The sequence below is a fragment of the Homo sapiens genome, chromosome 12, assembly GCF_000001405.40.
Source record: "Homo sapiens chromosome 12, GRCh38.p14 Primary Assembly".
Lineage (NCBI taxonomy): Eukaryota > Metazoa > Chordata > Mammalia > Primates > Hominidae > Homo > Homo sapiens.
Window position 1 is genome coordinate 3,383,242 of NC_000012.12, and position 16,376 is coordinate 3,399,617.

The window sequence follows — 16,376 nt, forward strand, 5'->3', positions numbered from 1 at the left end:
TATATCTATAAAAATCTTGCTGGGATTTTGATAGGACTTGTGTTAAATCCATATATACATTTGAGGGATAATTATCATCTTTCCTCTGTTGAGGCTTCTAAACCATGAACGCAATGTGTCTCTATTTTATTTAGAGCTTTGATTCTTTTAACAGTATTTTGTAGCTTTCAGCATAAAAGTCTGCTATGCGCTGAATGTGTCCCCTCAAAATTCATATGTAGTGGTATCCCCAGTGTGGTGGTATTAAGAGGTGGGGCCTCTGGGAGGCGGTTAGGTCATGAGGGCAGAGCCCTCATTAATGAGATTAGTGCCCTTATGAAAGAAGCTGAAAGAGTTTGTTCACTTGGACACAGTAAAAAGCTGCCATTTATGAAGCAGAAAAGGAGTGCTCACCAGACACTGAATCTGCTGGTACCTTGATCTTGAACTTCCCAGTCTCCAGAACTGTGAGAAATAAACTTTTGTTGTTTTAAACTTCTGTTGTTTTACCCGCTCTAGGGCATTTTGTTACAGCAGCCTGAATGGACTAAGACAAAGCCCTTGCACATGTTTTGTTGGATTCATATCCAAATGTTTCCTTTCTGTTTTGAGTGATTGTAAGTGGTATTGTATTTTTAATTTTTGTGTCTGTGTTCATGCTGGTATATGGTGATATACTTGATTTTTGTGTGTTTATTTTGTATCCTGCAACATTGCTGAAGTTACTTATTAGTTCTAGAAGCTTTTTCTGCATTCTTTGGAATTTTCTACATAGACAATCTTGTCATATGCAAGTGGGGAGAGTTTTATTCCATTCTTTCCAATTCACATACCTTTTATTTCCTATTCTTGTCTTATTGCACTGAATAGAACTTCCAGTACTACATTGAATAAGAGTGGTAAGAGAGGATAGTCTTGCCTTCCTTCTGATCCCAAGGAGGAAACAGTCAGTATTTCACCATTAAGTATAATGTGAGCTGTAAATATTTTTGGAGATGCATTTTATCAGGTTGAGCAAGTTCCCCTCTATTCCTTTTTTTTTTTTTCTGAGAGTTCCTCTTTAAAAAAATCAGAATGGGCATTGGATTTTGTCAAATGTTTTTCTGCTTCAATTGCTATGATCATGTTTTTGTTTTTGTTTTTTCACCTGCTTTAGGCCAAACAATATACTATTTACACTATTCTGAATACTTTGAACTGCAAATGATAGATTAAACCAGATTAAAATTTGATTAAATTAAAAGAAATGTATTTTTTTCTCTGAACAAGATATCTGGAGGCAGACAGTTCCAGGGTTGGCTAATTCAGCATCTCAGTATTGTCAGGGCTCTGGGTGTTCTCTGTGATTCTCTGGGCTTTCCCCTCGTGGTTGCAAGTCGGCTACAGAGGTCCCAGGTGCCGCTAGTAGGGGATGTTCTCCTTTTTTTTAATCACAAGGAAAATCTTTCTCAGAATCCTACAGGCTTTTATGTCTTGTTGGCCAAAGTGAGCCCATGTCCAAACCTAAACCAGTCTCGCAAAGAGAATGGAAACGGGAGTGGAGTCCCATGAATAGTTTAATCCAGTAGTTCTTACCAGGGGCCCTCCTGGTGTGTTGGATGACAATTTGTTGTTGTGCAGGATTGTCCTGCTCACTGAAGGACATTTAGCATCCCTGGCCTTCACCTATTAAGTGACAGTGGAGCCCTCCAGTCATGGAGACAACTTCTTTCAAACTTCCCCTGGGTGTGGCGGGTGGGGGGCGGGGGCTGGCAATAACACTTCTCATTGAGAGCCATTGGTTTAAACCAATTATGATTCACTCCAAGGTCAGCCAGTGGAGTGATCAAGCCAGGACTGGTTGAGTTTAATACTATATATTGAATTCCCAATTATCTGCTTTTATTTCTCATTGCTGTGACATCTAATAATTATTGTGTGTTTATTATGAGACACAGTGTGCTAATTGATTTATATCCTTTATCATTTTACTTTTTATAACAACTTTAGGGGATATGCATTCTTATTGTCCCCATTTTACTGATGAGGAAATTGAGGCCTACGAAGATTAAGGAAGTTGCCCAAGGTCTGATTCCAGAATCAGCATAAGCTGCTACACCATACCACTTCCCCAGGAAAGTAAGTCTTTGTTGTCTTTTGCTGTCATTTATTCTGAGTGGTAGCAAGACATTCTTCAAAAGCCAGGTGATTCCTCCCAGACTGTACCCACAATTTCAGTCCTTCAGTTGGAGGAATTACAGAGGGAAGATGAATGCATTTACTCCAGTTATGTATGGCAGAGAAGAGGTAAGAGATGAAAAGCATGATTTAGCCATATTATTTTGCTTTTTCTAAAAAGAAAACTCCTTATTAGATCAACACTTTATTAGGCTATGTCTTAATTATAACTTAGGCTTTACAGTTCTTAAGCAAAGATATGACTAGGGCAAAATTAAAATATGGCAACGAGTATACGTTGTCTCACTCAAGTACTGTTTTCAGTAACTCCTTATCTAAGCCTTGGCTTTCTTTACACTTTTACATATTCTAAGTGATTCCAGGCATTGCAAAGCTCTTTTGCCTGTGCAAGGCTTCCAGGAACCCAGCCACTGGCAGCTTTGGTGTAGGCACATTCTTAAGAAGGGACATTTTCTATTTTGCCTTCATTTGTAGCTATTCATGACTGACTCTCCGTTCTTTTGTCTACTTGTTCATCCGTCCATCCATCCATCCATCCATCCACTCAGCCATTCTTTTGTTCAACAGTGATTTACTGAATTCCTTACTATGACTCTTCTATATTTGACATGCCACACGATGTTCAGCAATGACTTCTACTCAAGAGCTAGTTTTTAGTTTCACACTGCTTTTCTCTTGTTCTTTATCTTTTGCTTTTGTAGCTCAGAACAGAAAAATCTATAGAAAAGATCTTGCTACCAGGCTATGGGACCCTCTTGTCCATGGCGATATCTTACTGTCTTTGTGTCTTTGGGCTGAGCAATCCTGCAGCATGGTGTATGCTCAATAATGCTCATGGAACAAAATGGTGTGGTTCCTCTTCCAGGAAGTGCTGCCATCTCTCTTTTGATTGAGAATAGGTTTACCTAGGTGATTACATCACTAACATTGTATTCCTGTGATTTCTTCCTCATGATAGGACAGATTTTACTAAAAAGTCAAAAATTATTTATTACATTATGCCGTTCCTCTTACTTTTCATGCCAGATTAAATTTTCTTGGTCCTTCAATGCCCACTTCTAATATCAATAAACAAGTAACCTTTCCCCAACCTACTGAAGTCGCCATGTGGAATTGGTCATTCTTTCTGTTGATTCCATATCATCCCCTTCATTCTTCTGTCTGCCCGTTTGTCCATCCATTTATCCATCCACTTAGCTATTCGTTCGTTCAACAATGATTTAGTGAATACCTACTTACTGTGACCCTATTAAGTTTTACAAGCCACACAGTGTTCATCAAGGTGTTCATATGCTTGTCTACCTTCTTTTTTTTTTCTTTCTTTCTTTTTTTATGGAGTCTTTCCCTGTCATCCAGGCTGGAGTGCAATGGCGCAATCGTGGCTCACTGCAACTTCTGTCTCCCGGGTTCAAACGATTCTCCTGCCTCAGCCTCCCGAGTAGCTGAGATTACAGGCGCCTGCCACCACGCCTGGCTAATTTTTGTATTTTCAGTAGAGACGGGGTTTCACCATGTTGGTCAGGCTGGTCTCGAACTCCTGACCTCATGATCCGCCCACCTTGGCCTCCCAAAGTGCTGGGATTACAGGCATGAGCCACCACGCCTGGCCTAATTTCTTGATTATGTGTTTGTTTCCTCCAATAGGCTATGAGCCCTTCAAGCAAAGACAAGAAATAATGTTATTGCTCTTTTTGCATCCCAAGTGCCTGACACAAAGGAAGGTGGAGGAAAGCATGCGGTCAATGTATGTAGAATTGCACTATACATGCAATAGGGCCTGCCTTCTCTTCAACAGGCATTGCTTTTCCTCTTTTAAGCTTCATAGAACATTTAAAAAGCACACAGCAACAATAATTTCATCAGCGGATGAAAGAGGATGTCAAAAGAGAAAAATAAACCAGGGTAACAAATAATCAGAGGATGTCCCCATTATAATTACAGCAACATGGATTGAGTTATGCCAGCTCCTGAGAGGAATTTGATTTCCTTATTATGTGTATACTTTATCATCCTCTCAGCATCCCTTTTTTCTTGGTATTTCACATATGGCTCTGATGTCTCCCTGCTTTGTAGATGGGAAAACTAAACTCCAGAATGGGCTAATGGCTTGAGCCATCTCACATAGCAAGGCAGACACTGAGAGGTGGGCATAAAATAAACATGTTTAGATTTTAATTATTTCAATCAAATCAAGAGATCACCATCACCAGAATATCCTATTAACTATTTATCGAATGCTTATTATGTGCCAAGAACTTTACATGCATTATCCTTTCTCCCCAATCTTTATTTTGAAAACATTAAAACCTGCAAACAGCTGGGAAGAATATACAATGAAACATCTAGTTTCACTAATTGATTTATTTCTTACACCTAGTTTCTTACACTTAGTTTCACATTTTTGTTTTATTTCTCTCTAAATATATTTGAATATATTGAATTACATGCAGACATTATGACTTAGCTCCTAAATATTCCAGCATACATCACTTCAGAAGAAGAGCATTCTCTTACGTAACTAAGATACAATAACCACACTCAGGAAAGTTAACATTAAAATAATTTCATTATCTATTACATAATCCTTATTCAAATTTGCCTTATTTCCTCAATAACTCCTCCCTTCCCTTCCTTTCTCCTTCTTTCCTTCCTTCCTCCCTCCCTCCCTCCCTGTCTGTCTGTCTTTCTCCCCTTTTTCTAAATTCAGGATCTAATTGAGGATCACACATTGCATTTACTTTTCATATTTCTTTAGTCATCTTTGATTAGAATCACTTCCCAGCCTTCCCCCTCAACCCCGTTTCATGACATTGACAGTTTTGAAGAGTTCAAGCTTCTTGTTTTGCAAAATCCCTTTAGTTTAGATTTGTGTGATGTTTCCTCATGGAAAGATTCAGGTTAAATATTGTTAGTAAGAATATTGCATAAGTGACATTGTGTCCTTCTCAATCATCCCATCGGGGGCATAAAATGTCAATGTGTCCCATCACTCACGATGCTATGATCACTTGGCTAAGGCAGTGTTTGCCAGGTTTCTACATTGCGGAAGTACCATTTTCCTTTGTAATTAACAAGTAATCTGTGGAGCGATACTTTGAGGTTGTGTGAATACCCCTCATCAGGTTTTGTCTAATGTTTTTAGTATCCACTGATGATGAGTGTTTATTATCATTTTAGAGTCTCACTATAACCCTGTGAGGTAGACACTATTATGACCCATATTTACAATGAAGAAACTGAGTTAGAGAGATGAAGAAACTTGCTCAATGTCTCACAGCTAATAAGGGACAGAGCTGAGATTTCAGCCCACATCAGGCTGTCTCTAAAGCCTGTGCTCTACCTACTACACTGCACTAGCTGAAAGTAGACTTTCTTATCTCGCTTGCTCCAGGCAAGACAAGAAAAAAGTGATAGTCAAGATCATATAGACACAATTTATTTCGTCTCTCAAGTCTCTTCCCTCTTATTTCCCAAGCACTTTTTTTCCCCAAAGCCTGATGCGTGTCAGTCACTCTTCTCTGACTGTTAACCTGGAATGTGGTGAATAAATTATATTTTATTCCAGTGAACCTTAGGCTGTGGAGTTCTGCTTTGATTCCATCCCACGGTGCCCAGGACCACCTGCTTGCCAGCACCACACTGGGAATGATGCCATTACATTCTGGAATCATCCATTCCAGTGTGAGAAAGACCACTACATACATTCATAGGGAGGATTACAGTGAATCCTTCTGGGTTCTTTCATAAAGGGGAACTTGGGGGTACCGAGAGATGGAGGTGGGGAATACATTTTTCTATTAGTTTCAAAGGAAGAGCTCACCTAGCCCAACTCCCTTCCTTTGTAGATGAAGAAACTGAGCCCTAGACTGGTAAGTGGACTGTCCAGGGTCAACGCTGGTGACAGACAGATCTGGGGCTGGAACGACAGATTCCATGCTTATCGCGCTGCAAAATCCCTAAGGTTACATTCTCGTCCAGCCCTGCTCGCCCAGCCCTTGGTCCTCTGCTACTCCTCCCCACCCTTCCCTTCTCAGACTTGCCCTTTGGAAGGCATTCGCTCATTCTTTCCTTCCTTCCTTCCTTCACTGGGTTGTTCATTCTTCAATAGCATTTGTTGTCCTCCTACCATATGCCAGATCCTGTGCTGGCCTTAATGGGTATGAAGCAAAAAGAAACACAGTGTCAGCCTTGAAGGAGGCCACTGTTTAGGTGAGTGGAGGGGAAGCGTATAATATGACACCATGATCGGATGTGCTAAGCACTAGAGCAACACTCATCTACTGCCCTGGGGACACAGAAAAGGGAAGGATGCTTTGAAATTATGCGGCTGCTTGGGAGTTTGCTGGGGAGCTACCCAAACATAGCTCCATTACTCAGAACACTCCTGGAATTCCCTTTCCGTCTGCTAGTCTTCCCAGAGGAAAGAGAGGGCAAGTATGGGAAGCAAGGGAAGGGCAGAACATGGCTGGTTGATGAGTTTGGGGGGATTCTAAAGGGACCCAGAAACATACCCGATCAGACTCAGGACTAATTGGTGCAGCTGGGTGGCTGCATCCGCTGCAGGCCCTTAGGAGCCTAACGCTGGTTATTGGCTTGGCTCAGTTAAGAGAGCTTGAGCCTCCTCCAAGGCTGCCCAGTGTCCAGAGCCGCCTGTGCTTCTGGGCATGGGGAGAGAGAGTGGGGAGAAGAAGTGGTGAGGATGCTGAGAATCCAGGACGCAATTGCCCTAGGGCACTAATTGCAGCTCCAGCTGCAGGAGGCCCTGTGATCTTCCCACTTGCTGCTCAGTACACTGCATAATGGGCTCTTAGTTATGGGATTTAAACTAAGCCTGAATCTTATTCTGCACAAGGGAATAATCACATCACAAGCTGGAAGGAAGGAGTATGCTGTACTGATTAGACCAACGCAGTGAAAAGTTCTGGCTGCTGTTTTCTGTTCCTCCTGCTGACCGATGGCACAATTCAGGCCAATTAGGAAACATCTGCTTACCTATCAGTGAACTGATGTAATGACTTCATACAGCATGGCTTTGGGCTATGCTGGACCTCCCAAGTGAGCCCTCCTTTCCTTAACAACTGTGACAATTGAATGACATTTTACTGTGCCAGTCTGTTTATGGATCACCTATTTAATCCTCACAGTAACCCTAATAGTAGCTACCATTACGATTCCTGTTCTGCACAGGAAGAAACAGAAGCTCAGAGAAGGTAAGTTACTTACCCAAGGTCACACAGCTAATATATATGGCACTATGACTGAATCAAGCAGTGTGATTTCTGAGCCCACACTCCTAGCCACTAAGGAAAATTGCCTCTTAGTCCCAGGAGGATGTGACTTGGGCAGGAGTTCTAGCACTCGTTACAATTCATGGTCATGTCATTCATTCCTTTTGCTGTTCGTTAGATTATAAGCTCCATAAGGTCAGGGAACAGGCAGACTTGTTCACCACTGAGCCTCCGGAGCCTAGCACCTCCTAGCACATAGTAGACGCATCATTCATGTTTTGGGCTGAGCGAATAGCTCTGGATCAGGCCATATAGCCTATTTAGTATTTTGCCAATTACACTAGTAGGAGAGGCCAATGGTATAGGCCATTCCCTGGGTCTGAATTGTTCAGTTATGGGAACTAACTGGGTTCTAAGGAGTGGGCTCTGAGGGGATTCACCAGAGTTGCTCCTTCTTTTGCCCTTGCTCCCATCTCCTATAGCATGCACTCATCCTGTGATTCATTTTTTTCGGTAGATCTTTAATGAGCACCTATTATGTGCCCGGTGCTGTTCCAGGTAGTTCACTGGAACAAAGCAGATAAAAATGCCTCTGACACAGAGCTTGCAATCCACTGGAGGGGAAAACCATGAGCAATAAATAGGCAAAACGCACAGTGCATACAACAGAATACATGCTTAGGAAGGTAGATATGAAGGATCAGGGAGGTGGGTGGCCACTAAAGCCCTCATTAAGAAGGTGGCATTTGACAAAAGGCTAGAAGGAAGTCAGGGGGCAGCCATACAAATGCCTCAGGGAGAGGGAACAGCCAGCACAAATGCCCTGGGGCAAAATCACTCTGTGTGTGGGACGAGCAGTGGGGAGGTCACTGGAGCGAGAGATGGGAGTGATGGGAGAAGAGTTTGGAGAAGTGACCAGAGCTAGGTTGTGTGAAATCTTTTAGGTAATAGCTGTAAACTTGGCTTTAAATCTGAGTGGAATGCGAAGCCACTAGAGGATTCGGGCGGAGGAGGGATGTGATCTGACTTTCCATGTTATCCTGTACCAAAGCTATTTGCATATCTGTCTCCCCCTCTAGTCTGTGAGGTTCTCAACACTGGGACCATGTATATATTCCCAGTGCCAACACAGTGATGGTACACGATAGATGTTTCAATACATGGCCATCAAATGAATGAGCACATGAAAAATGCAGAACCAGTGCAAAATGAAACCAACTGAACTAGGGTGCAGATGGGGACCCAGAGGGCAGATAAATGCACTCTGAATTGATGAATGAAGGGCATTTAATGGAGCAGGTGCCTTTTAATCTAGGACTAGAAGCAAGAGAAGCCTATCCACAAATAGAGAGAGGAGAAGGATATTGCTCCTGAGCAAGGAACAGGAGCAAAGGGTTGGAGGCATGAAAGTGCAGGGCAAATTAAGAAAATACCAAATAGACAAATGTTTCTGGTATGCAGGATGAGAGGAGGCACACAGTGGCATCAGAGGCCAGAATTACAGCCTGGGGCCAGATCACAGAATCACTTACACGTCAAGCTAAGAAATTTGGATTTTATTTTATTTTTTTATTTTTATTTTTTTAAATTTATTATTATTATACTTTAAGTTTTAGGGTATATGTGCACAATGTGCAGGTTAGTTACATATGTATACATGTGCCATGCTGGTGTGCTGCACCCGCTAACTCATCATCTAGCATTAGGTATATCTCCCAGTGCTATCCCTCCCCCCTCCCCCCACCCCACAACAGTCCCCAGAGTTTGATGTTCCCCTTCCTGTGTCCATGTGTTCTCATTGTTCAATTCCCACCTATGAGTGAGAATATGCGGTGTTTGGTTTTTTGTTCTTGTGATAGTTTACTGAGAATGATGATTTCCAGTTTCATCCATGTCCCTACAAAGGACATGAACTCATCATTTTTTATGGCTGCATAGTATTCCATGGTGTATATGTGCCACATTTTCTTAATCCAGTCTATCATTGTTGGACATTTGGGTTGGTTCCAAGTCTTTGCTATTGTGAATAATGCCGCAATAAACATACGTGTGCATGTGTCTTTAAAGCAGCATGATTTGTAATCCTTTGGGTATATACCCAGTAATGGGATGGCTGGGTCAAATGGTATTTCTAGTTCTAGATCCCTGAGGAATCGCCACACTGACTTCCACAATGGTTGAACTAGTTTACAGTCCCACCAACAGTGTAAAAGTGTTCCTATTTCTCCACATCCTCTCCAGCACTTGATGTTTCCTGACTTTTTAATGATCGCCATTCTAACTGGTGTGAGATGGTATCTCATTGTGGTTTTGATTTGCATGTCTCTGATGGCCAGTGATGGTGAGCATTTTTTCATGTGTTTTTTGGCTGCATAAATGTCTTCTTTTGAGAAGTGTCTGTTCATGTCCTTCACCCACTTTTTGATGGGGTTGTTTGTTTTTTTTCTTGTAAATTTGTTTCAGTTCATTATAGATTCTGGATATTAGCCATTTGTCAGATGAATAGGTTGTGAAAATTTTCTCCCATTTTGTAGGTTGCCTGTTCACTCTGATGGTAGTTTATTTTGCTGTGCAGAAGCTCTTTAGTTTAATTAGATCCCGTTTGTCAATTTTGGCTTTTGTTGCCATTGCTTTTGGTGTTTTAGACATGAAGTCCTTGCCCATGCCTATGTCCTGAATGGTAATGCCTAGGTTTTCTTCTAGGGTTTTTATGGTTTTAGGTATAACGTTTAAGTCTTTAATCCATCTTGAATTGATTTTTGTATAAGGTGTAAGGAAGGGATCCAGTTTCAGCTTTCTACATATGGCTAGCCAGTTTTCCCAGCACCATTTATTAAATAGGGAATCCTTTCCCCATTGCTTGTTTTTCTCAGGTTTGTCAAAGATCAGATAGTTGTAGACATGTGGTGTTATTTCTGAGGGCTCTGTTCTGTTCCATTGGTCTATATCTCTGTTTTGGTACCAGTACCATGCTGTTGTGGTTACTGTAGCCTTGTAGTATAGTTTGAAGTCAGGTAGTGTGATGCCTCCAGCTTTGTTCTTTTGGCTTAGGATTGACTTGGCGATGCGGGCTCTTTTTTGGTTCCATATGAACTTTAAAGTAGTTTTTTCCAATTCTGTGAAGAAAGTCATTGGTAGCTTGATGGGGATGGCATTGAATCTGTAAATTACCTTGGGCAGTATGGCCATTTTCACGATATTGATTCTTCCTACCCATGAGCATGGAATATTCTTCCATTTGTTTGTATCCTCTTTTATTTCCTTGAGCAGTGGTTTGTAGTTCTCCTTGAAGAGGTCCTTCACATCCCTTGTAAGTTGGATTCCTAGGTATTTTATTCTCTTTGAAGCAATTGTGAATGGGAGTTCACTCATGATTTGGCTCTCTGTCTGTTGTTGGTGTATAAGAATGCTTGTGATTTTTGTACATTGATTTTGTATCCTGAGACTTTGCTGAAGTTGCTTATCAGCTTAAGGAGATTTTGGGCTGAGACAATGGGGTTTTCTAGATATACAATCATGTCCTCTGCAAACAGGGACAATTTGACTTCCTCTTTTCCTAATTGAATACCCTTTATTTCCTTCTCCTGCCTAATTGCCCTGGCCAGAACTTCCAACACTATGTTGAATAGGAGTGGTGAGAGAGGGCATCCCTGTGTTGTGCCGGTTTTCAAAGGGAATGCTTCCAGTTTTTGCCCACTCAGTATGATATTGGCTGTGGGTTTGTCATAGATAGCTCTTATTATTTTGAAATACGTCCCATCAATACCTAATTTATTGAGAGTTTTTAGCATGAAGGGTTGTTGAATTTTGTCAAAGGACTTTTCTGCATCTATTGAGATAATCATGTGGTTTTTGTCTTTGGTTCTGTTTATATGCTGGATTACATTTATTGATTTGCGTATATTGAACCAGCCTTGCATCCCAGGGATGAAGCCCACTTGATCATGGTGGATAAGCTTTTTGATGTGCTGCTGGATTCATTCTGCCAGTATTTTATTGAGGATTTTTGCATCAATGTTCATCAAGGATATTGGTCTAAAATTCTCTTTTTTGGTTGTGTCTCTGCCCGGCTTTGGTATCAGGATGATGCTGGCCTCATAAAATGAGTTAGGGAGGATTCCCTCTTTTCCTATTGATTGGAATAGTTTCAGAAGGAATGGTACCAGTTCCTCCTTGTACCTCTGGTAGAATTCAGCTGTGAATCCATCTGGTCCTGGACTCTTTTTGGTTGGTAAGCTATTGATTATTGCCACAATTTCAGATCCTGTTATTGGTCTATTCAGAGATTCAACTTCTTCCTGGTTTAGTCTTGGGAGAGTGTATGTGTCGAGGAATTTATCCACTTCTTCTAGATTTTCTAGTTTATTTGCGTAGAGGTGTTTGTAGTATTCTCTGATGGTAGTTTGTATTTCTGTGGGATTGGTGGTGATATCCCCTTTATCATTTTTTATTGCGTCTATTTGATTCTTCTCGCTTTTTTTCTTTATTAGTCTTGCTAGCGGTCTATCAATTTTGTTGATCCTTTCAAAAAACCAGCTCCTGGATTCATTAATTTTTTGAAGGGTTTTTTGTGTCTCTATTTCCTTCAGTTCTGTTCTGATTTTAGTTATTTCTTGCCTTCTGCTAGCTTTTGAATGTGTTTGCTCTTGCTTTTCTAGTTCTTTTAATTGTGATGTTAGGGTGTCAATTTTAGATCTTTCCTGCTTTCTCTTGTGGGCATTTAGTGCTATAAATTTCCCTCTACACACTGCTTTGAATGTGTCCCAGAGATTCTGGTATGTTGTGTCTTTGTTCTTGTTGGTTTCAAAGAACATCTTTATTTCTGCCTTCATTTCGTTATGTACCCAGTAGTCATTCAGGAGCAGGTTGTTCAGTTTCCATGTAGTTGAGTGGTTTTGAGCGAGATTCTTAATCCTGAGTTCTAGTTTGATTGCACTGTGGTCTGAGAGATAGTTTGTTATAATTTCTGTTCTTTTACATTTGCTGAGGAGAGCTTTACTTCCAACTATGTGGTCAATTTTGGAATAGGTGTGGTGTGGTGCTGAAAAAAATGTATATTCTGTTGATTTGGGGTGGAGAGTTCTGTAGATGTCTATTAGGTCTGCTTGGTGCAGAGCTGAGTTCAATTCCTGGGTATCCTTGTTGACTTTCTGTCTCGTTGATCTGTCTAATGTTGACAGTGGGGTGTTAAAGTCTCCCATTACTAATGTGTGGGAGTCTAAGTCTCCTTGTAGGTCACTCAGGACTTGCTTTATGAATCTGGGTGCTCCTGTATTGAGTGCATATATATTTAGGATAGTTAGCTCTTCTTGTTGAATTGATCCCTTTACCATTATGTAATGGCCTTCTTTGTCTCTTTTGATCTTTGTTGGTTTAAAGTCTGTTTTATCAGAGACTAGGATTGCAACCCCTGCCTTTTTTCGTTTTCCATTTGCTTGGTAGATCTTCCTCCATCCTTTTATTTTGAGCCTATGTGTGTCTCTGCATGTGAGATGGGTTTCCTGAGTACAGCACACTGATGGGTCTTGACTCTTTATCCAATTTGCCAGTTTGTGTCTTTTAATTGGAGCATTTAGTCCATTTACATTTAAAGTTAATATTGTTATGTGTGAATTTGATCCTGTCATTATGATGTTAGCTGGTTATTTTGCTGGTTAGTTGATGCAGTTTCTTCCTAGTCTTGATGGTCTTTACATTTTGGCATGATTTTGCAGCGGCTGGTACCGGTTGTTCCTTTCCATGTTTAGCGCTTCCTTCAGGAGCTCTTTTAGGGCAGGCCTGGTGGTAACAAAATCTCTCAGCATTTGCTTGTCTGTAAAGTATTTTATTTCTCCTTCACTTATGAAGCTTAGTTTGGCTGGATATGAAATTCTGGGTTGAAAATTCTTTTCTTTGAGAACGTTGAATATTGGCCCTCACTCTCTTCTGGCTTGTAGAGTTTCTGCCGAAAGATCCACTGTTAGTCTGATGGGCTTCCCTTTGTGGGTAACCCGACCTTTCTCTCTGGCTGCCCTTAACATTTTTTCCTTCATTTCAACTTTGGTGAATCTGACAATTATGTGTCTTGGAGTTGCTCTTCTCGAGGAGTATCTTTGTGGCATTCTCTGTATTTCCTGAATCTGAATGTTGGCCTGCCTTGCTAGATTGGGGAAGTTCTCCTGGATAATATCCTGCAGAGTGTTTTCCAACTTGGTTCCATTCTCCCCGTCACTTTCAGGTACACCAATCAGACATAGATTTGGTCTTTTCACATAGTCCCATATTTCTTGGAGGCTTTGCTCATTTCTTTTTATTCTTTTTTCTCTAAACTTCCCTTCTCACTTCATTTCATTCATTTCATCTTCCATCGCTGATACCCTTTCTTCCAGTTGATCACACCGGCTCCTGAGGCTTCTGCATTCTTCACGTAGTTCTCGAGCCTTGGTTTTCAGCTCCATCAGCTCCTTTAAGCACTTCTCTGTATTGGTTATTCTAGTTATACATTCTTCTAAATTTTTTTCAAAGTTTTCAACTTCTTTGCCTTTGGTTTGAATGTCCTCCCATAGCTTGGAGTAATTTGATCGTCTGAAGCCTTCTTCTCAGCTCGTCAAAGTCATTCTCCGTCCAGCTTTGTTCCATTGCTGGTGAGGAACTGCGTTCCTTTGGAGGAGGAGAGGTGCTCTGCGTTTTAGAGTTTCCAGTTTTTCTGCTCTGTTTTTTCCCCATCTTTGTGGTTTTATCTACTTTTGGTCTTTGATGATGGTGATGTACTGATGGGTTTTTGGTGTGGATGTCCTTTCTGTTTGTTAGTTTTCCTTTTAACAGACAGGACCCTCAGCTGCAGGTCTGTTGGAGTACTGGGCCCTGTGAGGTGTCAGTCTGCCCCTGCTGGGGGGTGCCTCCCAGTTAGGCTGCTCGGGGGTCAGGGGTCAGGGACCCACTTGAGGAGGCAGTCTGCCCGTTCTCAGATCTCCAGCTGCGTGCTGGGAGAACCACTGCTCTCTTCAAAGCTGTCAGACAGGGACATTTAAGTCTGCAGAGGTTACTGCTGTCTTTTTGTTTGTCTGTGCCCTGCCCCCAGAGGTGGAGCCTACAGAGGCAGGCAGGCCTCCTTGAGCTGTGGTGGGCTCCCCCCAGTTCGTGCTTCCCGGCTGCTTTGTTTACCTCAGCAAGCCCGGGCAATGGCGGGCGCCCCTCCCCCAGCCTCGCTGCCGCCTTGCAGTTTGATCTCAGACTGCTGTGCTAGCAATCAGCGAGACTCCATGGGCGTAGGACCCTCCGAGCCAGGTGTGGGATGTAATCTCCTGGTGTGCCGTTTTTTAAGCCCGTCGGAAAAGCGCAGTATTCGGGTGGGAGTGGCCTGATTTTCCAGGTGCCGTCCATCACCCCTTTGACTAGGAAAGGGAACTCCCTGACCCCTTGCGCTTCCCGAGGAGGCAATGCCTCGCCCTGCTTCGGCTCGCGCACGGTGCGCGCACCCACTGACCTGCGCCCACTGTCTGGCACTCCCTAGTGAGATGAACCCGGTACCTCAGATGGAAATGCAGAAATCACCCGTTTTCTGCGTCGCTCATGCTGTGAGCTGTAGACTGGAGCTGTTCCTATTCGGCCATCTTGGCTCCTCCCTCGAAATTTGGATTTTATACTGCAGGTAATGGGGGGGCCTTTGCAGGATTTTACAGGTGTGGGGCCGTTTTCAAAGGTGGGATTCAGCCCATTAGGTTTTGGTTTGCAACCTGTGAGGACAGTGGAGAACGCCAAAAATGGTGCTGTGTATGGGAGGCAGTGCCTCACAGTGTGGCTACAACACAGCACTGTTTATTGTGTCAATTTAGTGTGTAGAAATACTGTCATGTTCAGAAAGAGAGTTGATCTCATACTTCACAGAAGCCTTTGGGGATTCCCCTTTGAGGAGCCCTCAGACATTGCACAGTGAAAGATTTAGTGGTTTCCTCAGGTGCATTCCAGTAGGAGCCTGCGTCCAGCTCAGGAGTGGTGATGACTTCACTATGCTGCTCATCCAACCATCCAGCCCTTATGTAAAATCAATCAGCCATAAGCTTCCCGGGCTCACTTCATTTTTTCTCCTGTGCTGGAGGAGACTGGTAGAGTCAAGACATGATGTGTTGTGCCCCTGGGTGGCATGTAGCTCCATTACTGTTTAGCCTGGAAGCCCAGGGTCAGTCATGATGACGTTAGGAGGCTCACCAGGCAGGGGGAATGCAAAGGCAGTCATCTGAGTTCATCTGATAGATCTGGCAATGAACCACACTGGGTTCTAAATATGCAGTGGGGCTGCTCATGGTGTGGGGGAATGGCCCTGGGAGGATGGAGATGAAAGTCCATGTCAAAGTGAAAGCTGTCAGCCATTCCTTTGAAGGAATGGGCTTGTTCCCAGGCTGGAGGTTAAGGTGTCTACTTTCCTGCCTTGACTCTGAACAGCTAAGACTGTCTCACCCTCTCACCTTTTCACTCTGACTTAGTCTAAGTTAACTGAAAGGGCTCGTTGGCTCTCCCCACCATACTTCTGTTGCTTCATTGTGGAGCAGGCCTGAGCACTGCTCACTAGTGTGTCTTCAACCTAGGGTTATGGTTACTGTAACTCACTCTAGATGGAACACTTAGGTATCATGAACCCACAGGACACAGATGCAGATGAGCAACCCTTTTACCAGCAAGTAGCTTTCAAAGTTGGCGACTGGGGAGCTGGAGAGGGGCAAAAATAGAGTGGTTCAGAGAATCCCCAGTGTCAAGCTTTCAGGGAGTTTAAGCAAGAAGGCTGCAGTTTGGGGACTGGAGGGAGAAACTTCTACCAGTATCCCCAGTTTTCTTTCAACTGCATTCAGGGGAGAATAACCAGTATTCCTCTGCTGAGATGCAGCAGGTTTGTCTATAATTTACTAAAATGATGTGGTGGAAGGGAGCCGGGCCCCAGAGACATCATGAGCCTCTTGTGTACAGAAAACCATATCAGGAATATAACTGTACCTGAAATGATGTCCTTGGAGGAGT

At 42.6% G+C, this 16,376-nt stretch overlaps 1 protein-coding gene across 1 annotated transcript in view, besides 1 other annotated feature; it reads left to right on the forward strand.

The window, feature by feature from the left end:
* PRMT8 (protein arginine methyltransferase 8) overlaps positions 1-16,376 on the forward strand; it is a 212,625-nt gene that overhangs the window by 1,893 nt on the left and 194,356 nt on the right. The gene's annotated exons all lie outside the window — the stretch shown is intronic.
* Positions 14,714-15,257: an enhancer, noted in NCBI's record as "NANOG-H3K27ac-H3K4me1 hESC enhancer chr12:3507121-3507664 (GRCh37/hg19 assembly coordinates)". NCBI's record gives its function as "activates a minimal SCP1, AML or CMV promoter by ChIP-STARR-seq in naive H9 embryonic stem cells {active_cell/tissue: H9 hESC(naive)}" and the evidence as "EXISTENCE:reporter gene assay evidence [ECO:0000049][PMID:30033119]".